The 25,303-nt window shown below is 42.8% G+C and overlaps 1 protein-coding gene and 1 pseudogene across 37 annotated transcripts in view, besides 1 other annotated feature; one reads left to right on the top strand and one right to left on the bottom strand.

The window, feature by feature from the left end:
• Positions 1-25,303, bottom strand: part of TANC1 (tetratricopeptide repeat, ankyrin repeat and coiled-coil containing 1) — a 264,020-nt gene that overhangs the window by 188,105 nt on the left and 50,612 nt on the right. Inside the window, exon 3 of one of the 37 annotated variants that reach the window (NM_001350065.2) lies at positions 1,111-1,279. The exons of the other annotated variants lie outside the window; for them this stretch is intronic. The gene's annotated coding sequence lies outside the window, so the exon portion shown is untranslated. The remainder of the gene's footprint in view (positions 1-1,110; positions 1,280-25,303) is intronic. 37 annotated transcript variants of the gene reach the window in all.
• Positions 12,055-15,079: an enhancer, noted in NCBI's record as "VISTA enhancer hs2027". NCBI's record gives its function as "enhancer in: heart[11/11]" and the evidence as "EXISTENCE:transgenic organism evidence [ECO:0001131][PMID:17130149]".
• On the top strand, positions 17,413-17,519 carry RNU6-580P (RNA, U6 small nuclear 580, pseudogene; annotated as a pseudogene).

Raw genomic sequence — 25,303 nt, 5'->3', positions numbered from 1 at the left:
ATCTGAGTCCTACTAGATGCTAGGCATTGGAGACAGAATGCAAATAAAAAGATGACTAGAACATAGATCATATACATTAGGAGCCTCCAGCCTCGCCAAACCTCTTGAAATAGTTTTAAGACAGGGTTTCATGCTGTCACCCAGGCTGGAGTACAGTGGCGCCATCAGAGCTCACTGCAGCCTCAATCTCCTGGGCTCAAGCGATCCTCCCACCTCAGCCTCCCGAGTAGCTTGGGACTACAGGTGCATGCCACCATAACCCAGCCATTTTTGTTTTGTTCTGTTTGGTTTGGTAGAGATGAGGTCTCGCTGCGTTGCCCAGGCTGGTCTCAAGTGATCCTCCCACCTCAACCTCCCAAAGTGCTGGGATTACAGGCGAGAGCCATTGTTCCTGGCATTAAAATAGGTATTTCTGTTTCATAACTTACATATAAGACTACAATACAGGGAGATCTCAGCACACGGTTAGCAAGTTTCCCCAAGTTCCTAAAGCCACACAACTAGAAAATCCTCCTTGAAACCCAGGGGAAGAAGAGGGATGACAACTCAGAGTAAGTTAACAGGACAGTCTGTAGAACGGGCAAGAGGCAGAACCTATGTCAGCTTTAACTGACATGACCCCAAAAAGCCAATCTATGAAGAGCATTTGAGGTAAGGCAACCTGTAAATGTTTCCTTATTTGTCTTCCAGGAGCGATAAGGAGCCTTGTCATTAAACTTTAAGAAGTTTTTCACGGGGAATAAGGAGTAGAAGAATGAAAATGATACGGATGAGACAGCCAGTCTGACCTTATTAAAAATGTGAAAATTTTATCAGTTATACTTCTGACAACTGTACTTAAACTGTAAACAAAGATACTAAGCCATTCAATCAACATATATTAAATGTTTTCAATGGAAAAGTACTGTGCTAGACACCATAAAAAAGGGATCCAAAATTCTAAAATGGGCACAAGTCAATAAAATTAGGAAAGCTTCAAAAGAGTGCACTAAAGCACGCATGTTATTAGTAAGAGTGCTTTAACACAGTAAGATAATGATTTACTTTAAGTTTCTTTGAAGAAATCTGATTTACTTTCAGAGCCCTCAAAATTTACCAAGAATAGCATACCTTGAATACCTGGCCTGTCAAAGCATGGATTCCCTATGAGCACGTCCCTGGTCTCAACTCTCCTCACCCCACATGCCACTTGCTTGCAACAGAGAGTGGTTGTCTCCCTCACTCAGGGATGCCCGTAAGTTCCTCCCAAGAAGATGACCATAGAAAGCTGGCAAAAGAACTGGAAAAAAGAAAACCCGTCAGCACTCTTCCCTATGAGACGAGAGGCACAGAGTTTATCAACACCAGCTCTGACCTCCCCAAAAATCCCAAAGCAGCAGTAATGGAGAAAAAGACATCACATGGACATACTGTCAAGCCCAGTAAAAGCAGAGTGACCGGGGATTGGCAAAACCAAGAGAATCCATTCCTTCCTCAGATGCTCACTATCCAAGCTGAGTCAGGACATCAACTGAGAAGCACCTGCTCTTAAGCAAGGTACTAGATGCATCCGGTTTACCACCACTATCTCAGGTTTTCTGTTTATGTGATGCTAATAGGTTTACAGCCCAGTCCACAACGAAATGTTTTAAAGGTTTAAGATAACATGCCAAGAACCTCTCTCAAACCCTTAGCATGCTGAAGTCCTCCTAAGCACCTCCTTCCCCTATCTCCTGCCTCACCCCTCAGGAGTCCCAGGTTTCTACGAAATTCACCATTCCCAAACACACCACTCAACTTCACACCTTTGCTCTTTCTCTTCCCTCAACCTGAAACCCCCTCTCTCTCTGGAAATTAGTCATCCTCCAGGTACAGCTCAAATATCACCTGCATGCCCACACCACCCCCCACGGAATCTTGCCAGCCCTTTCTCTGTGCTCAGAACACCTGGTTGGCCTCTGAGTTGCAGCACTGGCTTCGTTCTGCCTGAGCTCCCCTCCTACCAGTCTCTCCAGGGCTGGTCTTCCCTGGTGTCATCCACCACCCTCCCGCTCTCACTCTCATCACAAGCAGAAGCAGATGCTCCATGCACGCTTGCTCATTGAAAGATTCCAACAAGGAGCTCCTGTGACTGACCCAGAGCCTATCTCCCTGGGAAGTGTCCTTTTCACTGCTACACGTCCTGGAGAACATTCGTTTTCAAGGGTGCTCTCCATGTTCAAACACACCACCAACTAGGCTCCTGCCCAAGTCAATCCTGCCGGGCTTCACTGCCAGAAAGAACGGGATCATGTGCAGTCACGTTTGGGCCAAAAAAACCACCTTGGCAGGGCACCAGGGTGCTAACAGGTTTGTGCGTGCCGAGGCTGGGTGGAGGCCTCTCCTCCTCCTAAGTCTGTTTAATGAGGAGCTCCAGAAGACCTGCTGCCTTCCCCACCAGGACTTCAAAGATGAGAACGGAGAATAGGAGGTTTCTCTGGAAGGAAACCAGGGAGTAATACAGGGGATGGGTTCAGCCTTTCCCTGACTTCAGGGTCAGCTGAGATCTCATTTGAGCCAAGCACAGAGGAGAACCCTACATGAACCAGGTGGTCACCCCCATGTCAAATGCCTAATGTTTCCTCAAAAAAAGTCTCAACTCGAACATGGGGTAGGGTTCCAAGATGGCTGAATAGGAACAGCTCCAGTCTTCAGCCCGCAGCGTGACTGACACAGAAGACAGGTGATTTCTGCATTTCCAACTGAGGTGCCTGGTTCATCTCAGCTGGGACTGGGTGGACAGTGGATGCAGCCCACAGAGGGCAAGCCAAAGCAGGGCAGGTCATCACCTCACCCAGGAAGTACAAGGGGTAGGGGAATTCCCTTTCCTAGCCAAGGGAAGCCGTGGCAGACTGTACCTGGAAAATCGGGACACTACCACCCTAACACTGCACTTTTCCAACTGTCTTAGCAAACGGCACACCAGGAGATTATATCCTGCACCTGGCTCAGCGGGTCCCGCTCCCACAGAGCCTTGCTCACTGCTAGCACAGCAGTCCGAGATCGAGCTGCAAGGTGGCAGCCTAGCTGGGGGAGGGGCATCCACCATTGCTGAGGCTTGAGTAGGTAAACAAAGCAGCCGGGAAGCTCGAACTGTGTGGAGTCCACCGCAGCTCAAGGAGGCCTGCCTGCCTCTGTAGACTCCTCCTCTGGGGGAAGGGCACAGCTGAAAAAAAGGCAGCAGAAACTTCTGCAGACTTAAACGTCCCTGTCTGACAGCTCTGAAGAGAGCAGTGGTTCTCCCAGTACAGTGTTTGAGCTCTGAGAATGGACAGATTGCCTCCTCAAGTGGGTCCCTGACCCCCATGTAGCCTTACTGGCAGACACCTCCCAGTAGGGGCCAACTGACACCTCATACAGCTGGGTGCTCCTCCGAGATGAAGCTTCCAGAAGAAGGATCAGGCAGCAATATTTGCTGTTCTGCAATATTTGCTGTTCTGCAGCCTCTGCTGGTGATACCCAGGCAAACAGGGTCTGTAGTGAACCTCCAGCAAACTCCAACAGACCTGCAGCTGAGGGACCTGACTCTTAGAAGGAAAACTAAAAAACAGAAAGGAATAGCATCAACATCAACAAAAAGGACATCCACACCAAAACCCCATCTGTAGGTCACCATCATCAAAGACTGAAGGTAGATAAACCACAAAGATGGTAAGAAACCAGAGCAGAAAAGCTGAAAATTCTAAAAACCAGAATGCCTCTTCTCCTCCAAAGGAATGCAGCTCCTTACCAGAAATGGAAAAAAGCTGGACGGAGAATGACTTTGACTAGTTGACAGAAGTAGGCTTCAGAAAGTCAGTAATAACAAACTTCTCCAAGCTAAAGGAGGATGTTCAAACCCATTGCAAGGAAGCTAAAAACCTTCAAAAAAGATTAGACGAATGGCTAACTAGAATAACCAGTATAGAGAAGACCTTAAATGACCTGATGGAGCTGAAAATCATGGCACGAGAACTACATGATGCATGCACAAGCTTCAGTAGCCAATTTGATCAAGTGGAAGAAAGGGAATCAGTGATTGAAGATCAAATGAATGAAATGAAGCGAGAAGAGAAGTTTAGAGAAAGAAGAGTAAAAAGAAACGAACAAAGCCTCCAAGAAATATGGGACTATGTGAAAAGACCAAATCTACATTTGATTGGTATACCTGAAAGTGATGGGGACAATGTAACCAAGCTGAAAAACACTCTTCAGGATATTATCCAGGAGAACTTCCCCAACCTAGCAAGGCACGCCAACATTCAAATTCAGGAAATACAGAGAACACCACAAAGATACTCCTTGAGAAGAGCAACCCCCAGGCTCAAAAATAAAGGGATGGAGGAAGATCTACCAAGCAAATGGAAAGCAAAAAAAAGCAGGGGTTGCAATCCTAGTCTCTGATAAAACAGACTTTAAACCAACAGAGATCAAAAGAGACAACGAAGGCCATTACATAATGGTAAAGGGATCAATACAACAAGAAGAGCTAACTATCCTAAATATATATGCACCCAATGCAGGAGCACCCAGATTCATAAAGCAAGTCCTTAGAGACCTACAAAGAGACTTAGACTCCCACACAATAATAATGGGAGACTTTAACACCCCACTGTCAATATTAGACAGAACAATGAGACAGAAGGTTAACAAGGATAGCCAGGACTTGAACTCAGCTCTGCACCAAGTGGACCTAATAGACATCTACAGAACTCTCCACCCCAAATCAACAGAATATACATTCTTCTCAGCACCACATCACACTTATTCCAAAATTGACCACATAGCCGGAAATAAAGCACTCCTCAGCAAATGTAAAAGAACAGAAATCACAACAAACCGTCTCTCAGACCATAGTGCAATCAAATTAGAACTCAGGACTAAGAAACTCACTCAAAACTGCACAACTACATGGAAACTGAACAACCTGCTCCTGAATGAGTACCGGGTAAATAACGAATGAAGGCAGAAATAAAGACGTTTTTTGAAACCAATGAGAACAAAGACACAACGTACCAGAGTCTCTGGGACACATTTAGAGCAGTGTGTAGAGGGAAATTTATAGCACTAAATGCCCACAGGAGAAAGCAGGAAAGATCTAAAATTGACACCCTAACATCACAATTAAAAGAACTAGAGTAGCAAGAGCAAACACATTCAAAAGCTAGCAGAAGGCAAGAAATAACTAAGATCAGAGCAGAACTGAAGGAGATAGAGACATAAAAAACCCTTCAAAAATAAAATAATAATAATGAATCCAGGAGCTGTTTTTTGAAAAGATCAATGAAATTGATAGACCGCTAGCAAGACTAATAAAGAAGAGAAGAATCAAACAGATGCAATAAAAAATGATAAAGGGGATATCACCAATGATCACACAGAAATACAAACTACAATCAGAGAATACTATAAACACCTCTATGCAAATAAACTAGAAAATCTAGAAGAAATGGGTAAGTTCCTGGACGCACACACTCTCCCAAGACTAAACCAGGAAGAAGTTGAGTCCCTGAATAGACCAATAACAGACTATGAAATTGAGGCAATAATTAATAGCCTACCAATCAAAAAAAGTCCAGGACCAGACGGATTCACAGTCAAATTCTACCAGAGGTACAAAGAGGAGCTGGTACCATTCCTTCTGAAACTAATTCCAATCAATAGAAAAAGAGGGAATCTTCCCTAACTCATTTTATGAGGCCAGCATCATCCTGATACCAAAGCTGGGCAGAGACACAACAAAAAGAGAATTTTAGACCAATATCCCTGATGAACATCGATGCAAAAATCCTCAATGAAATACTGGCAAACTGAATCCAGCAGCACATCAAAAAGCTTATCCACCAAGATCAAGTGGGCTTCATCCCTGGGATGCAAGGCTGGTTCAACATACACAAATCAATAAATGTAATCCATCACATAAACAGAACCAAAGACAAAAACCACATGATTATCTCAATAGATGCAGAAAGGTCTTCAACAAAATTCAACAGCCCTTCATGCTAAAAACTCTCAATAAATTAGGTATTGATGGGATGTATCTCAAAATAATAAGAGCTATTTATGACAAACTCACAGCCAATATCATACTGAATGGGCAAAAACTGGAAGCATTCCCTTTGAAAACTCCCACAAGACAGGGATGCCCTCTCTCACCACTCCTATTCAAGAGTGTTGGAAGTTCTGGCCAGGGCAATCAGACAAGATAAAGAAATAAAGGGTATTTGATTAGGAAAAGAGGAAGTCAGATTGTCCCTGTTTGCAGATGACATGAGTGTATATTTAGAAAACCCCATCGTCTCAGCCCAAAATCTCCTTAAGCTGATAAGCAACTTCAGCAAAGTTTCAGGATACAAAATCAATGGGCAAAAATCACAAGCATTCCTATACGCCAATAACAGACACAGAGAGCCAAATCATGAGTGAACTCCCATTCACAATTGCTACAAAGAGAATAAAATACCTAGGAATACAACTTACAAGGGATGTGAAGGACTTCTTCAAGGAGAACTACAAACCACTGTTCAACGAAATAAAAGAGGACACAAACAAATGGAAGAACATTCCATGCTCATGGATAGGAAGAATCAATATTGTGAAAATGGCCATACTGCCCAAGGTAATTTATAGATTCAATGCCATCTCCATCAAGCTACCAATGACTTTCTTCACAGAATTGGAAAAAACTCCCTTAAAGTCCATATGGAACTAAAAAAGAGCCTCCATTGCCAAGGCAATCCTAAGCAAAAAGAACAAAGCTGGAGGAATCATGCTACCCGACTTCAAACTATACTACAAGGCTACAGTAACCAAAACAGCATGGTACTGGTACCAAAACAGAGAGATAGACCAATGGAACAGAACAGAGGCCTCAGAAATGACATCACACATCTACAACCATCTGATCTTTGACAAACCTGACAAAAACAAGGAACACGGAAAGGATTCCCTATTTGATAAATCGTGCTGGGAAAACTGGCTAGCCATATGTAGAAAGCTGAAACTGGATCCCTTCCTTATACCTATACAAAAATTAATTCAAGATGGATTAAAGACTTAAATGTTAGACCTAAAACCATGAAAGCCCTAGAAGAAAACCTAGGCAATACCATTCCGGACATAGGCACGGGCAAAGACTTCATGACTAAAACAATTTTGGCAACAAAAGCCAAAATTGACAAATGGGATCTAATTAAACTAAAGAGCTTCTGCACAGCAAAAGAAACTACCATCAGAGTGAACTGGCAACCTACAGAATGGGAGAAAATTTTTGCAATCTACCCATCTGACAAAGAGCTAATACCCAGAATCTACAAAGAACTTAAGCAAATTTTCAAGAAAAAATCAAACAACCCCATCAAAAAGTGGGCAAAGGAAATGAACAGACACTTCTCAAAAGAAGACATTTATGCAGCCAACAGACACATGAAAAAATGCTCATCATCCACTGGTCATCAGAGAAATGCAAATCAAAACCACAATGAGATACCATCTCACACCAGTTAGAACGGCGATCATTAAAAAGTCAGGAAACAACAGGTGCTGGAGAGGATGTGGAGAAACAGGAACACTTTTACACTGTTGGTGGGATTGTAAACTAGTTCAACCATTGTGGAAGACAGTGTGGTGATTCCTCAAGGATCTAGAACTAGAAATACCATTTGACCCAGCCATCCCATTACTGGGTATATACTCAAAGGACTATAAATCATTATACTATAAAGACACATGCACATGTATGTTTATTGTGGAACTATTCACAATAGTAAAGACTTGGAACCAACCCAAATGTCCATCAATGATAGACTGGATTAAGAAAATGTGCCACATATACACCATGGAATACTATGCAGCCATAAAAAAGGATGAGTTCATGTCCTTTGTAGGAACATGGATGAAGCTGGAAACTATCATTCTCAGCAAACTATCACAAGGACAGAAAACCAAACACTGCATGTTCTCACTCATAGGCGGGAATTGAACAATGAAAACATTTGGACACAGGGCGGGAAACATCACACACGAGGGCCTGTCATGGGGTGGGAGGATGGGGGAGGGATGGCATTAGGAGAGATACCTAATGTAAATGATGACTTAATGGGTGCAGCAAACCAACATGGCACATGTATACATATGTAAGAAACCTGCACATTGTGCACACGTACCCTAGAACTTAAAGTATAATAATAATAATTTTTTACAAAAAGCCTCAACTCACGTTCAGCGACAGCTTGCAAATGCTGCAAGAGCTTCTAAGCACCCTAGGTTTTTCCTACATAAGGTTGATGACCTCACTGGCATAGTATCTAAGCATTCACTGCAGGACAGCACCACCTGGTGAACAGTCGTAGCTCAAATACCTGAGGTTTCCCAGGACAGGCTCATAAAAGGGAGAGGGCCCTGGCAGCCAGGAAGGGAATCGTCTCCCAGCTGCTGCATGTCCTTCAGCCAAGTCTCCTTTCATAAAGCACACCTCAGCAGAAAAGGGAGACTCCTCATCTGTCCTAACCACAACCGACAGACAAGTATAAAAGAATACCCATCACAGCCCACAGCACGCCCACTCTCACAGCATGCCCGCTCTCAGACCCTCTGTCCGGAGGACCCACAGATGCGTGTGCACCCTTAAAATTAAATCTAACAGGTCATGTACACATAGACATGCACTTTCTCTTTGGCCTCTTCCCCACCTACAGCAACCCATTTATAAAACTTCTGTAAGGGCAGCAGGGGAAAAGTCCTTTCTGAGTTTAAAGCTACAAAGGCACCACTATAAATTACAGAGTCGCAGAGATCTCAAGGAAGGCAGCTTCCTGAGAGGAGGAAGACTGTCCCTCCAGCCTGTTTTTGTGGTGATGAGATCACAGAGTTTAGATTCTGTATTTGGTCCTACATGGGTTTTAAGGGCCTTCTTTAGTAATTACAGAAAGGAAAAAGGAAGGTCAATGAGACCAGAGAAACTGAGTGGTGTTTGAGAGGTTACTTATAACTACAGCGAGATCACCTATCAGACGCAGAAAAGAAACTATGCCTTGAGATTTTTGTTGTTGTTCTTCAGAATAAATTTTAGATTAGCAAAAAAATTATGAACTTTTACTGTTTTGGCATTCCTGTGTTCAAAGGCCTTTTTCAATGCACAACCCAGCATTTGGGCCCATGATAGTTTTGAAAAAATGAGCATTACACCACAAAATATTCTCATGTAAAAGATGACAAAATATACTTATTGTGGGAATTTTTCTGAAACCTAAAACACAGGAGGTTAGAGACTAGCTGAATGAGAATTTCAAATGCCCATCAATAGCTTTTTCTTTTCAGATCTAATTTCCCACTGACTCCTTCAAAAAAAAACTTCATAGAGAATTATTACAGTTTACCTCGTGGTCATCACTTTCTTGCAAGGATGAACAGACACACTTCAAATTTGTTTATCCAATAGAAGTATTCATCAAAAAAATTTTTTTTCTCCCAAGTACCCTTCTAAAGCCTAGCACTGGGCCTCCTCAGACCACAAGACAAAGGCTACTGTATGTGTTCATGGACCAAAGCATGTCTCCATCGATTCCATGTGACGGTCCAAATCCTCCAGCTGTAAAGGGTTCTGCAGCATTGAACACTGCTTTGACTACAATGTGAGGCCCAGAGAGGCTAAACAACGTGACAAAGACCACTCAGGCAAAGCCAGCGTCGGTGAGTTCGTGAGGACGTTCAAGTCACACTCAACCACAGCACAGTGGAAACAATACCACAGAAATCCTAAAGCAAATAAAAGAAAGCTCTTCTTTCATGTTGAATGCTGCTATTTAATAGAAAGCAAGCTTACATAACAGAGGAAGATGGGAGGAGGAGAACTTCATGGGGATCTGTCCTACATTTGGGGCTTGAGTAGCAAAAGGCATTAAAACATACCAATTTCCATCCCAAATCTTTCAGCTTCCATTTCCATGAGACAGGTGTCCTGCTAGTACTGTTACACTATCAACCGCCCTGAGGTGGTTTTCCATCCCATGGCCCATGAGAATCTCCTAGGTAGCTTTAAAAATTCTGAGGCCTAGAAAAAGTGAAACGGGATCTCTGGGAATAGGGCCCACTGGCGCTTTTCAAACCCGACCAGTTGATTTTAATGTGTAGCCAGGATTGAGAGTCACTACACCTGACCAACTCCCAGCTGTTTCTTTTGTCCTCCTGATGGGGTCAGGTGGGAAATATTTATGCCTCAAAAACAGGGGAGAGAGGGAAAAGCAAATGGACCAGGGAAGAGAGCTGAAGAAAGTTGGAGTGAATAACGATTTGTAGGTGATGATCGCTGGAGTGGGTGCAAGGTGTGGCCCAAGGGAGAAGGCAGGAGGAGGGACAGATTAGGCCATTCACTAAGTGAGCCCTGCATGGCATCTGCATTGAGTCCGGCTGCTTTGGCAGGTAGAGGCAGGGCCAAGAGGCAGCAATTCAAAGCTCATCTGTAAAGAATATTTCCATTAAGTGTTAACTATATGAGAAGTGATATGATGGTTTTCAGATGTGAGGAATTTACTGCACCACTGTATTTGCCACTATGATTTCACCTGTTCTTCTAATAGTCCTGATAGGGTTTTTGTTTTTGTTTTTGTTTTTTACTGAGGATCCATATTTTCTTGCTCACCAAGTTTGACAAAGCACAACGCATTCAAGGATAACTACTAAGAGCCACAGTGCCTGAAGAACAGAGCTTTCCTTGGTATAAAACCAGCTGGCGCACATGCAGGTTGAATGTGACCTTGATTTCATGAGCATCATGATGTTTTCAGATGTGACAGAGGCTGGATAAGAAAGAACCTGGGGTGAAGCCTGCGGGAACACCGGCTCCATCTGAGGTGCTAACCCTATTGTCACTCCCATGTCCCGTCATTCTTAGGAATACCTGCTTGCTACCTGCTCTTCTGTAATAGAGGGACAACCACCAGGCTGTTGAGTCTGGATGGCTTCCCCAATTTCTGTCTCTCATGGGAAGGAAATTCATCTGCTTTGCCTTACCCATCCTTTACCAATGTTTCCCAAAGTGTATCCCATCTGTACTAGAGCAACCTGGGCTGCTCCTGGGCACTTCCCCTCTCCCGCAGCCCATGGGCAATCACACCTGGAGCCCAAGAGACTGCATTTTCATCAGCCACACAACTCAACAGTCTGTGAACCGGTCATACATTTACGATTCTTCCTTTGAAATGAGTTCCTCAGTTGTGCTGCTACATCTGTCCCTAACCTCTGCCACTTCCTAACTGGTGATTCACAAATTCATCCATGGCCACTTACTTGAATCCCACTTGGATCCCACCCTCCCGACACCAAGCCCCTGACTTAAATCACTCTTCTCTGAACTCACACAAGATGCAAAACCACTGCTTTTAATCGGGAGTTTCAGGTCTGTTTGTTCTCTCTCCCAACCACAGACTAGGCTTCTTGATGGCAGGCTCCATGACATCCCACTGAACCTTTTGCAGGGCTCAGTATATTTAGGCTGTACAAACAGTGGCTGACGGACCGGCCAAGGCTTGCTCAGCCCTGGGTCTTCCTCCGTTGAGCTTCTTCTCATTTTCCCTGAGAAAACTTTCACTCTTTCCATAACAAAATTGATTCAGGCAAGAGTAGGAGGAAAAAAGGGGGAGGCCTATCAAAGACAGAAGTCATATGCTGCAACCTCAACTTATCCAGAAAACACCAAGAACCAAGATGCAAATAAGTCTTCAAAGCTGCCAAAATCTGGGGCTCAGTTCATGCACAATGCAGAAGGGAACTCCTAACCCCCACACCAACCCCCAACACCTCTTCACAGGCTCTCCCTCAGAGCCCTCCCACTGTCTTTCAGATTCAATTCTAACAGGAGAGAATATGTGGTTTCCCAGACTGTTGTAAGTTAAGAGAATGGAGGGACAGTGTTAGATCTGGGCACAATGACAGCCCTGAGAAGCTGCGACTGACAGGAGAGAATCTGTAAAATTCGAAACAGTAGATTACAGGCTGTTATATTTTAACAGCCTTTCAATCCCCAAATGCATGCAAGGACGCCAAAAAAAAAGCATTTTAAAGCAGCACAATTCTTGGCTCTGAAAGGTGACCCTGGGCACCAAGAAAAGGTTACTTTGCTCACAGTGTGTCTCTGCCACTATATCCAGGAGAGATATCCACATGGCTAACCTCAGTCCACAAGATCCAAATGTCCTCAAAAATAGGAATGGGGACTGTATCCAACTGCAATGTGCTGTCTCTGTGTGGTCTCTAACACCAACGGAAACCAGGACAGGCTTTCTCAAAAGCACTGCCATTCTGATCTGGAATATTCCATCTGAGTACTCTCCCATTCATTATTCTCATCCATCTTTTCTTACGGTATCTGTGAGTAAAGCTCCTCACCAGATTATAAACTTCTTTGAGCAGATGGACTATGCCTTTGTATTAATGACACGCCCCCTATCTCCTCCTAAGTCACCAATGAAGCCTTCTGAATCTTTGCCAGTTCAATCTGCCCCAGATACCCCAGGGCCATATGACCTTAGGGAAGAAGGTATTTGAATGAGAGTGTTTTTAAACAGCCTAAGCGTTTCTGTAGTCTCTAAAGGTATTAAGTTTTCAACTTTCTTAAAGATGATAAAATTGGTTTAAATGTTAGGATTCTGTGATCAATAAGGCAAGCTTCAGTTGACTTTGGAATCTAATCTGTATGACATACAGAGCCAAGGAATAAATTCTGTACTGTTATGCATGCCCATGTGAACCACAGAGGCTAGGGTGAGTTTTCCCTTGCTCTAAAGCAACCTCACCTCACATATCTTTAATCATTCATCTACTCAGAATGGATTATTGGGTGACTTCATATTTATTTCTTTTTTCCAAAGCTCAGCTTTCTGATTTATATATTTATTTCTCGATAAGTAATAGCACTCAAAAGCACCAATTTGCTTCAGGCTTGGTAAAGAGTACTTTCATGAATTTAACTGACAGTTCTGTAATATAGGGTTATAATTTACACTTGGGAAAAATTGAGGAATTTGTTTTGTCTAAATTGAATTTAAAACTACATCCACTTCCAGATTCACATAAGTAATTCTCAGTTTTCAAGCTCATGATTGAATATGTACCTTACACCCTAAGACCCATTCACTTGCAAGCAGGCTGAAATGACCTACCAGGACACTAAAAACCTCTCTATTTAGGTCTAGGCTGTCAGGACATCCAGGCCTGGCCTGTTGTTTTCAGTGTCCATGGCCCTTCCTTCCCCACAGCTGAAGCCTCTTAACCCTTGCCCCCACACTCCCCTTGCTGGCTCAACCCAGCGGGAATTTCTAAGATAGAGATTTAAATAGCTCTGGCTAAGTTGCTCTTGCTGCTTAACAGGCAGGCCCTGACCTTGTATCCAGTAACTTGGCTTTCTTGCTCCTGCATTCCACAGGCCTAAATCACCCTCTAGCTCAGTTCTGATAAGGAGCCTGAGACCCTCTCTGGATAATCTGCTGCTAACTCCTCAGGGGCTGAGGAGCTGCCTTGCTCTTGGCAATCTTCCAGGGGACTGGAGGTCACTCTGACTCCATATGGCCAGAGAAGGTCTGGGGACATGGGTGCCTGTGTCAGGCTACTCATATACCCTGAGCCACCAGCCCTGAAGACCTCAGCCCCTTCCTCCTGACACCTGGACTCCCTCCCAGCTGCAGTGGCTGGATCTGCTGCCCCCAACTCTGAGATGGGGGTTCCAAGCCCAGTGCCTCCGGATGCATTAGGAAATGACTCATCACAAAAAGCTGAGGGTCCTCTGGCCAGAACACAAGTCATGAGATCTTGATCTTAGCTGTCAAAAAATGTCAAAAACAAAACCCCAACAACAAACTGAGAAAACAGGATCTCTCTTTTCCTGGAGAATTCAACACCCCTATGTTGGCTTTGAGTATGCTGAAGCCACTGAATCCTCTTTTACTAGTTCTAAGGCGAAAACTGAGGAAAATCAGAGAAATGGCTACAACTGTGTCTTCTCTGAATAGAGGAGAATCAGAGAGCTTCTTATCAACCACTTCAAAGCTAACATCCATGATTATTGAAATTACAACTATGAAATAACTTCTGTCCTAGGAAATCAAGTCATCTTCTAAAAGAAAAATAAATGTGTATGTGCATTTTTATCAATATACTTTAAAGATCCAGACAAAAACCCTAGCTGGTTAAAGTGTACTACACTTTAGAATAACATAAAAAACAGCAACCTTCATTTTCTGGTCAAAGATTATTTTTGTAATACCTAGTAATTTCTACAAAATTCTAGCATTTTTTGCTTTCTACCACCATTCCGTAGAAAGACATTCCCCCCTTGGCTTTATATCTTTGCTTTTTGATCTTGTTAACAATCCAGAAAATTCCAACCTTGCAATTTTTTTTTTCACCCCGGGAAGGAATAACACACAGTCACTTAAAAACCAAAAGCAGTGTCAACACTTCTCAATGACACAGCTGCTGTGAGTGACCAGTGAATAAAAGGGTTTTTGTGGGGAAATGTTGACTTCTCTCCAAAATAATTCTCAGTGTTATTGAAGACATGATCAAAAATAGTAGAGGCTGGGTACAGTGGCTCACACCTATAATCCCAGCACTTTGGGAGGTCAAAGCAGGAGGACTGCTTGAGAACAGGAGTTCAAGACCAGCCTGGACAAGATGGCAAGACCCCATATCGCTATGTTAAAAATACAGGCATGGTGGCACATACGTGTAGACCTAGCTACTTGGGAAGCTGAGGCAGGAGGATCACTTGAGACTAGGAGTTCAAAACTAGCCTGGGCAACACAGACCTCACCTCTACACAAAATTTTTAAAATTAACTGGGTGTGGTGGCAAGCACCTATAGTCTTAGCTACTCAGGAGACTGACGTGGGAGGACTGCTTGAGCCCAGGAGTCCAAGATTATAGTGAACTATGATTGTGCCACTGCACTCCAGCCTGGTTGACAGAGCAAGACTGTCTCTAAAAAATAATTATAAGGCATTAGTTAAGCAAGAAATACTAAGTACTTATGATAAACCACAGTGAAAATACTCAAACTATATGGACACTTGGTTTCAAAAGAGGGTGCCTAGACAGGAAAGAACCCACTCTGTATGCCATGCATTACATGGAACAATGCACATGTTCCATATTACAAACCTTTACTTAAAAAGTGAGGCATACGATCCAACAATCTCATTTCTGGGTATTTATCCAAAAGAACTGAAGTCAGGATCCCAAAGAGCTATTTTCACTCCCATGTTCATTGCAGCATTATTCACAATAACCAAAGTGTAGAAGCATCCTAAATATTCACTAACAGATAAATGGATAAACAAAATGTGATATATACACATAATGGATCATTCCGCCATAAAAAAAGGAAATCCTGATACATGCTACCACATGAATGAAACTTGAAGACATCACACAAGAGAAATAAAACAGTCACAGAAGGATAAACAGCACACGATTCCACTCTTATGAGGTATATAAAGTAGTCAAACTCTGCTAGGCACTGTGGCTCACACCTGTAATCCCAACACTTTGGGAGTCTGACTTGGGAGGACCACTTGAGGCCATGAGTTCAAGACCAGCCTGGGCAACATAGCAAGATCCTCATCTCTATAAAAAAATCTACAAATTAGCTGTGTATAGCAGCACATGCCTATAGTCTCAGCTGCTTGAGAGGATCACTTGAGCACAGGAGTTTGAACTTACAGTGAGCTACACTCAAGCCACTGCATCTAGACTGGGCAACAGAGTGAGAGACCCTATCTCAACAATAATAATCATAATTAATTAATTAATAATCAAACTCATAGAAGCAGAGCAGAATGGTGAATGCCAGGAGCTTGGGGAGAGAGGAAAATGGAGAATTGTTGAAAGAATATAAAGTTTCAGTCACAGAGGATGAAATACTTCTAGAAATCAGCTGTATAACATTGTGTTTATAAGTTAACAACACTGTACACTTAAAATTTTGTTAGGAGTTAGATCTCATGTGTTTTGTTTTGTAACCACAATTTTTTAAAATATGAGGATACAAACTCAAGGATTCAGATTACATTAGCTTCAAAGTTCTTGTCCTTTCTACTGTTTCATTTTGTCTACACACAAGAGAAGTATAAACAGTAAAGAATAGGCCCGACATGATGGCTCACACCTGTAATCCCAGCACTTTGGGAGGCCAAGGCGGGCAAATCACTTGAGGTCAGAAGTTCGAGACCAGCTTGGCCAACATGGTGAAACCCCGTCTCTACTAAAAACACAAAAATTAGCCAAGTGTGGTGGTGTGTGCCTATAATCCCAGCTACTTGGGATGCTAAGGCAGGAGAATCCCTGGAATCTAGGAGATAGAGGTTGCAGTGAGGTGAGATTGCACCATTGCACTCCAGCCTAGGCAACAAGAGTGAGACTCCGTATCAAGAAAAAAAAAGCAATTAGCATATACTATGGTTTGAATGTGTCCCCCAACTTTCATGTGTTGGCAACGTAATCCCCAAATTCATATGTGGAGTGGAGGTGAGGCCTTTGGGAGGAAATAAGGATGAGATGAGGTCATCGGGATGGGGCTCCCATGATAGTACTGGCGGCTTGAAAAAAGAGGAGAGACTTGAACTGACATGCACGCTCTTGCCCTCTCGCTGCGTGATACCTTCTACCACGTTATGAAGCAGGAAGAAGACCCTCATTTGAAGCTAAGCAGATGCCAGCACCATGCTCCTGGACTTCACAGCCTCCAGAACTGTGAGAAATAATTTTCCCTTTTTTATAAATTATGCAGAAGGTGGCATTCAGTTATAGCAAGAGACGGACTAAGACTGAAAATTGGTACCAAGAATGGGGTCATTGCTATAACAGATAGCTGAAAATGTGGAAGTGGCTTTGAAACTGGGCAATGAGTAGAGGCTGGAAGGGTTTGAGGGAGCAAGCTAGAAAAAGCCTGTAATTGCTATAAGTGGAGCATTAGGGGAGATTCTGATGAGGGTTCAGAAGACGAGAGCTAGGGAAAAGTCTGAATCTTCTTCAAGATTTGCTTAAGTGGTGGTGGCCAAAATGTTGGTAGAAATTTGAACAGTAAAGGCCATTCCGACAAGGTCTCAGACGGAAATGAGGAACAAAGTACTGGAAACTAGAGTAAAGGCCATCCTTGTCACAAAGTAGCAACAAGCTTGGCTAAATTGTGTCCATGTCCTAGGTCTTTGTGAAATGCAGAGCTTGAGGGCAATAAACTAAAATATCTGGCAGAAGAAATATTTAAGCAGCAAAGCATTCAGGATATTGCATGGTTACTTTTGACCACATTCAGTGATATATGAGAGCAAAGAAATGACTTAAAGACAAAATGTATAATTAAAAGGAAAACAGAATGGGAAGACTTCAAAACTCTGCAGCCTGGCCACATAAAGAGTGAAAAAGACGCTTCCCTCAGCAGCACATATACTAAAACTGGACTGATACAGAGAAGATTAGCATGGTCCCTGCACAAGGATAACACGCAAATTCATGAAGCATTCCATGTTTAAAAAAAAAAAATGAGTGAAAAAGTGTGTTCAGGAGAGGAAACCAAGGCTGTGGGTAGGTGATCATTTGTTAAGGAGATTACTATTGATAGATGAAATTATCAAGAGAATAGGAAAAAGACCCCTGCCATTTCAGAGATCTTTGAGGCTGTCCCTCCCATCCCTGGCCCAGAGCTCTAGAAGGGCGGAATGGTTTCAGAAGGACCCAGGCACCCTTCATGGGGTTGCTGCCCAGGGCCCCCTTGGGTCTCTGCTTTCTGCATCCCAGTGCAGCACTCCTCAGCCACCCCAGCTGTGGCTCAAGCGACCCCAAGTGCAGCTCAACCCAGCACTCCAGAAGGTACAAGCAGCAAGGACTAGCAGCATGTACCAGGCTCAGGATACTCTGAGCCACCTTAGGACTCTATAGAGAGTCCCTACCAGCAAGAAGGCCCTCCCAGATGCAGCCTCAAGACACTGGACTTCATAGTCTCCAAAACTGTAAGAAATAAATTTTCTTTATAAATTGCTGAGTCTCAGGTATTCAGTTATAGCAATGGAAAACAGCACATAATTAAAGGCTAGAGTGCAGGGTAGGAGAAATTGAGAGGAACAGGAAGCCAAAGAAGCTGAGGTCATCGAGGAAAGCCTCAAAAAAAAGGGCAACATAGGCCCAACCCTGAAGGATCAGCTGAGGCTGCAGGGACTGCTACAAGCATCTGAGTAAGGACACTGAGCTGGTCCACGCCAAGAAGGCATGCTAGGCAACAGCTTTTAAAGGCTGAGGAGGACATGAACTAAACACTAGAAGCTAAAAACTGAAGCAAGGCCAGACACAGTGGCTCACATCTGTAATCCCAGCACTTTGGGAAGCCAAGACAGGAGGACTGCTTGAGGCCAGGTGTTCAAGACCATGCTGGGCAACAACAGCAACACCCTATCTCTACAAAAAATTTAAAAATTAGCCAGGAATTGTGGGTACCCCTGTAGTCCTAGCCATTGGGAAGCTGAGGCAAGATGATCGCTTGAGCCCAGGACTGGAGGCTTCAGTGAGCTATGATCATGCCACTGCACTCCAGCCTGGGCGATAGAGTGAGACCCTGTCTCTACAAAAAATAAAAATAGCAAAAAACACTGAAGCAAAATCAAAGGAATTGGTCGGAGTTCCCTAAGCCATTTATAATCTAGCTCTCAGAATTTGAATGTTCACTGAATCCCTGAAAAGGCCTTCCTATATGACAAACAAGCAATCAAGAAAGTTTTAAGGCACAGCCATCCATTGGGGCCAACCTGATTAGTTAAATGATCAGAAATAAGACCAGATAAATTGTATACCATTTCAAAGAAATAAATAAAAATATGGTATTATAGTAAAGCCCCATGTATCCAACATCCCTGAAAAACTTACTGTGCTAAAAAAAAGGAATCCCTTAGATACTGAAACCTGTGTTAACAGGAAAAATCTATGTATGGACTAGGTATTGACAAGTATTAGGGAATTATCCTCATTTTGTTTTGTGTTAATGTCATCGGGGATCTTTACTGAGTAACAGATACATACTATTTACAAAGGGAATTACATAGTGTCTGGGATTTGCTTTAAATTGCTGGGGATAAAATATAGGTCAAAGGTTCCAAGGTTGCAGTTACGCAGAATGAGTAAGTCTAGAGATCTAATGTATGGTATGAAGGCTATAGTTAACAACATTGTATTGCTTAGTGGTACTTTGTTAAGAGAGTAGGTTTTAGGTACACTTACCACAAGAAAAGAAAGAAAAGAAAAGAAAAGGAAAAAAGGAAGGAAGGAGAAGGAAGGAGAAAAGAAAGAAAGAAAGAAAGAAAGAAAGAAAGAAAGAAAGAAAGAAAGAAAAGAAAGAAAAAGAAAGAAAGAAAGAAAAAGAGAAAGAGAAAGAAAGAAAAAGAAAGCAAGAAAGGAAGTTAACTATATGAGATAATGGGAATGTTAATTTTCTTGACCATAGTTATCACTTCACTATGCATATGTGTATCAATAAGTACAGTCATAGGTGGCTTAATGATGGGGATAGAGGATGGAAGGTGGGGGATTCAGCATCAGCATTGCTGTGCGAATGTAACAGAGTGTACTTACACAAATCCACAAGCCTGGGCTATATGCTAGAGCCTATTGCTCCTAGGCTACAAACCAGAACAGCATGTTACTGTCCTGAATATTGTAGGCAAATGTAGCACAATGGGAAGTATTTGTGTTATCTAAACATATCTAAACATAGAAAAGGCACAGTAAAAATATAATCTAAATATGATCTAAAAGATTTTTTTTTTTTTTTGAGATGAAGTCTTGTTCTGTCACCCAGGCTGGAGTGCAGTGGTGCAATCTTGGATCACTACAGCCTCTGCCTCCCGGATTCAAGCGATTCTCCTGCCTCAGCCTCCTGAGTAGCTGGGGTTACAGACACATGCCACCATGCCCAGCTAATTTTTATATTTTTAGTAGAGACGGGGTTTCACCATATTGGCCAGGCTGGTGTTGAACTCCTGATCTCAAGTGATCCGCCTGCCTCAGCCTCCCAAAGTGCTGGGATTATAGGCATGAGCCACTGCGCCCATGCCTATAGGATTTTTTAAACAGTGCGGCATAGAGTACCTACCACAAATGGAGTTTGCAGGACTGCAAGTTGCTCTGGGTGGGTCAGTGAGTGACTGTAAAGGCCTGGGACATTACCGTACAATACTGTAGACTTTATGAACACTGTACACTTAGGCTACACTAAATTTATTTTAAAAATAAGGTAACTGCACTATAACATTATAATGGCTACCATGTCACTAGGCAATAGGGATTTTCCAGTTCCTATTATAATCTTACGGGACTGCCATTGCATACACATGCCATGTTGTGGCACATGACTATATACAAAAACATCATGTTGTAGACCTTAAATATATACAATAAAAAATAAATAAACTGCTCCAACCACAAAAAAGCAATGTAGGGTTACTGAAACACGACTGACAAAGTGTTAATATTTGTGAAGCTGGTTGGTAGATACATGATGGTTTGTTATATGCCTCATTACTTGTATATTTTTGACAATTTTTTTTTTTTTTTTGAGATGGAGTCTTACTCTGTCACCCAGGCTGGAGTGCAGTGGCACGATCTTGGCTCATTGCAACTTCCACCTCCTGGGTTCAAGTGATTCTCCTGCCTCAGCCTCTCGAGTAGCTGGGACTACAGGCATGTGCCATAATACCCAGTTAATTTTTTGTATTTTTAGTAGAGATGGAGTTTCACCATGTTGGTCAGGCTGGTCTCAAACTCCTGACCTCAGGTGATCCACCCACCTCGGCCTCACAAAGTGCTGGGATTACAGGCGTGAGCCACTGCACTTGGCCTTATTTTTGACAATTTCTATAATGACTTTTAAAAGCCATGGGTGGCCAGGGGCCATGGCACATGCCTGTAATTCCAGCACTTTGGGAAGCCAAGGTGGGAGGATTGCTTGAGCTCAGGAGTTTGAGAACAGCCTGGGCAGAATGGCGAGATCCTGTCTCTTCCAAAAATACAAAAAAGTACCCAGGCGTGGTTGTATGTGCCTGTGGTCCCAGCTACTCAGGAAGCTGATGGGAAGATCACTTGAGCTGGGAGGGTGGAGGTTGCAGTGAGCCAAGATCGTACCACTGCACTCCAGCCTGGGTGACAGAGCGAGACTCTGCCTCAAAAAAAAAGAAAAAAAAAGGCCATGGGTTACCCATTTGGTATAAACTTTTCTCTAAAAATTTGTCAGATTCTGTCCACTTTACATACACAGATCTCTCTCTTTCTAGAATGAGAGAGAATTCTACCTAGAATGTCCTTTTATTCCACCTGGACAACTCCTAGTCACTCCCCAAGACCACACACAAAAAAAGCAATGTAGGGTTACTGAAATAAGACTGACAAAGTGTTGATATTTGTGACTTCCTTTCACTTGGAAGCAGAAGTCTCAATTTTCCCTATGCTCCCACTATATGCCACTCATCCCATTATGTAATCCTTAGTATACTATCTTATATTTATATATGAAACCATGTGCCCTCTTAGGCTGTGAACAAGGAAGGGACCTAATTTGTTTATCATCACACACCCAGCACCTGGTATAGTATGCTCCTGATGAATATTTGGGTCATGAACAAGACCTAGCCCAAAGTCATCAAAAACCCAGTTGTTGTCCTGCCAAGAGATCTTAGGAAGGTCTGTCGAGCTACAAAGCCTGTGTGCTTCCCAAGCTGATGACCTTACCCAGTCAGGAATGCCAGCTTCTCCAGGCCACCTCCACTTCTATTTTTTATGTTATTTTTCAAAAACAGGGTCTTGCTCTATTGCCCAGGCTGGAGTGCAGTGGTGTGATCTCAGCTCACTGCAACCTTCACCTCCTGGGTTCAAGCGATTCTCCTGCCTCAGCCTCCCGAGGACAACAGGCATGCGCCACCATGCCCAGCTAATTTTTGTATTTTTAGTAGAGATGGGGTTTCACCATGTTAGCCAGGCTGGTCTCAAACTCCTGACCTGAAGCAATCGCCCACCTCAGCTTCCCAAAGTGCTGGGATTACAGGCGTGAACCACCGTGCCTTGCCCCACCTCCACTTCTAATTTCCAGCTTGTCATTTCTTATGAATAGAACCCCGGAACAAACATCCTGAATTCAAGTGGTCTCCAGATCAAAAACAAGAGGTCCTGGGCACACACTTAGGAAAAAGGTGCATACACGCTGGTGTGTACCCCATACATGTATTACATATTCTGAACTGCTCAGAGGGCTTCCTTGCTTAACTCCCAAGTTGCAACTGTGAATGGGATAACAAGAGTGATAGTTGAGAAAGAGTGGCATTCTGGCCACTCCTCTGATAAGTAGTGTCACCTCCAGAGTGACATTACTCCATCAGCCTTCAACAGCGTGCAATGATAAAAACATGAATACCACCAAAGGTTGTTGGGAACGAGTAAAGTTACGTATACCAGGATTTCAAAGCAACTTCTAAGTAGCAGAGCTCTTTTTTTCCACAGTTCTGAAACACTGAAAAAGACATTGATCTCTCCATTAATTTATCTTGAAAATTTTTCAGCTGTCTTAATTTAAGACAGGCTTTAAGGTTTTTAATTTTTTAAATGGGACTTTACATGTCCCTGAGATTTCTCCATTCTTCCTCAAACTTGGCCTTACGACCTATATAGCAGACTCTAGTCCTTAATTACATGCCAGTCTATACTATTTATACTTCTCTTGCATGTGGACAGTATAGTAAAGCAGAAAAGACTGAAAGTTTGAGAAAAAAATTTAACCAAAGTTCAGCAATTCATTTAATTTTAATTTCAGTTGTATTCTGTTAAATTTAAATTGTTACTATTTTATTTTTAAATGTCTACAGCAAATTTCTGAATGCAAAATTACTTTTTCTTTCTTTCTTTCTTTCTTTCTTTTTTAAAGAGATAGGGTCTCGTTACATTGCCCAGGCTGGAGTGCAATGGCTATTCACAGACATGATCCTAACTCACTACCACCTCAAATCCCTGGGCTCAAGCTCTACTGCTACTCCTGCCTCAGCCTCCTGAGTAGCTAGGACTACAGGTGCATGCCACCTTGCCCAGCTACTTCCCTATTTTTAATAAGTTCTACCAGAAGCTTAGATTACTTTGGTTATCTTTTTAAAAGAAAAGCCTAAATGATTTTCAGTTGAATGAGAGAAGGATACAAACCCTGCCCTCCTCACTAGAAACTGATCTTAAAACCACTGATGTCTACCTACCAAATTAAGAGGACAAAAGTCAAGGAGATGAATGTGATGATTACTATATCATTATGTGTAAACTACCCATTAAAAAAAAAGTTTAAAATTCTCCTTACATTCTCATTTACTGTATTATCTATAAGATGATCAGATCATTTGGTTTAGGGTTCTGTTCTAATGAAGTACGGTCTTTTCTTGGCCACAGGTAACTGTTAACTCCAGGCATCTCACAGAGGCAAAAAGACAATCCAAATCCACACCAGTACTAGCAAACCACTTCGAATACCCTGGTAATGACTGGTAGCTCAGAAGATGTATATGAGTGACACATTATATTACACTTTAACCCTACCTTTCCACAGATGATGGAAAGATAAAAGTAGAAGCACCACGGTATCTAAAAAGACACAACTGGACCCGAGGCCAGGAAAAAAAAAAAAAGAGACTGACTGCCCCACACCACAGGTGTGTCCAAGAAGATTGTCTATATAACTCAACAGATGTGTGTGTCCAGAGGGTTCTGGCTGTACCACACAACGGATGTATGACCTTGGACTCTTAAATTTTCTTAAAGTCTCTTAAATTCATTGCCCCTGAGCAGCTTCATAGGCAAAGCCAGTACATTGTATTAGATATGTTCAAGCCTTTCTGAATCTAAATTCAGTTCAAATTCACAAATTCTTAGTTGACTTCACACTAAAAAAATAAGGCATGTAAAACTCTTCACACAGTGGCTACCATGCAGTAAGTATGTCATAAATGCTGCGGCTGTTATTGAAAAAAAAGAAGTTTAGGTTTGTATGTGTTACACACAGCATATATTTAAATTTCTTTGGTGGGACTTTTTCTGAAGGAAAAAAAAAATCACTTTAAAGTCCTATTCTAAGGCCAGGTGCAGTGGCTCACACCTATAATCATACCTGTAATCCCAGCACTTCGGGAGGCCAAGGCAGGTGGATTACTTGAGGCCAGGAGTTCAAGACCAGCCTGGCCAACAAGGCGAAACCCTGTCTCTACGAAAAATACAAAAATTGGCTGGGTGTGGTGGCATGTGCCTGTAATCCCACCTACTCAGGAGGCTGAGGCAGGAGACTTGAACCCGGGAGGCAGAGGTTGCAGTGAGCTGAGATCGTGCCACTGCACTCCAGCCTAGCCGATAGAACGAGACTCCATCTCAAAAATAAAAATAAAAAATAAAGTCCTATTCTAGTCAGAATTGTTAATTCAAAGGAGTCCGTAATGAAACAATAAATTACGAAGTTCTACATGAAAAGATACAATCCTCTCAAAATCGACTAGTTTTATTTTGTGTTAAATTAGATTTTCTGTGAACTCTTGGCAGCGCTTGGAAAGAAGTCATGAGTGCTTTCAAGACTTTTGCTCAGCATGCATTTACTGACCATTGCTATATGAAAGCTGCAGCTGCACCCCTGAAATCCCAACACTTCGGGAGGCTGAAGCCAGGAGTTTGGGACCAGCCTGGCCAACATGTCGAAACCCCGTCTCTATCAAAAAATACAAAACTCAGCCAGACATGGTGGCACGCACCTGTAGTCCCAGCTACTTTGTGAGCAGAGATCATGCCACTGCACTCCAGACTGGGTGACAGAGCAAGACTCTGCCTCAAAAAAAAAAAAAAAAAAAAAAAAAAAAAAAAACAGAAAGAAAGCAAGCTGCAGTTAGGGAAGCAAAGATCATCAAGACCCTGCCTCCAGGTCCAAACAAGTGGACAACTGCCCAGAAGTACCAACTGCTGAGGGGTCTGGATAAGAAAAAGATTGTCCTGAAACCTCCAGAGCAAAGGTCTGAAGGTAGTGGGCCACAGATATTGTGTGGCCCATATGCTTTGTTTTTGTCTTTAACTGAATTAGGTTGCCAACACTTAGAAAGCAGGAGGTTACACATAAATAAGGATTTCTAGTTTCTCTTGAAAATTTGCAAGTGCCAGCAGTATCATGCCTGTATTCCCACTCAGCAACTACCGGTGCAGAATCTCTATTCCCATCACTCCTAACACGGGCTGAAGATCGCTGGCTGCTTCCTTCAGCTCACTGCGTGGC

The sequence above is a fragment of the Homo sapiens genome, chromosome 2 (genome assembly GCF_000001405.40).
Source record: "Homo sapiens chromosome 2, GRCh38.p14 Primary Assembly".
NCBI classification, from domain to species: Eukaryota; Metazoa; Chordata; class Mammalia; order Primates; family Hominidae; genus Homo; species Homo sapiens.
This window is presented reverse-complemented; position numbering and strand designations above follow the sequence as displayed.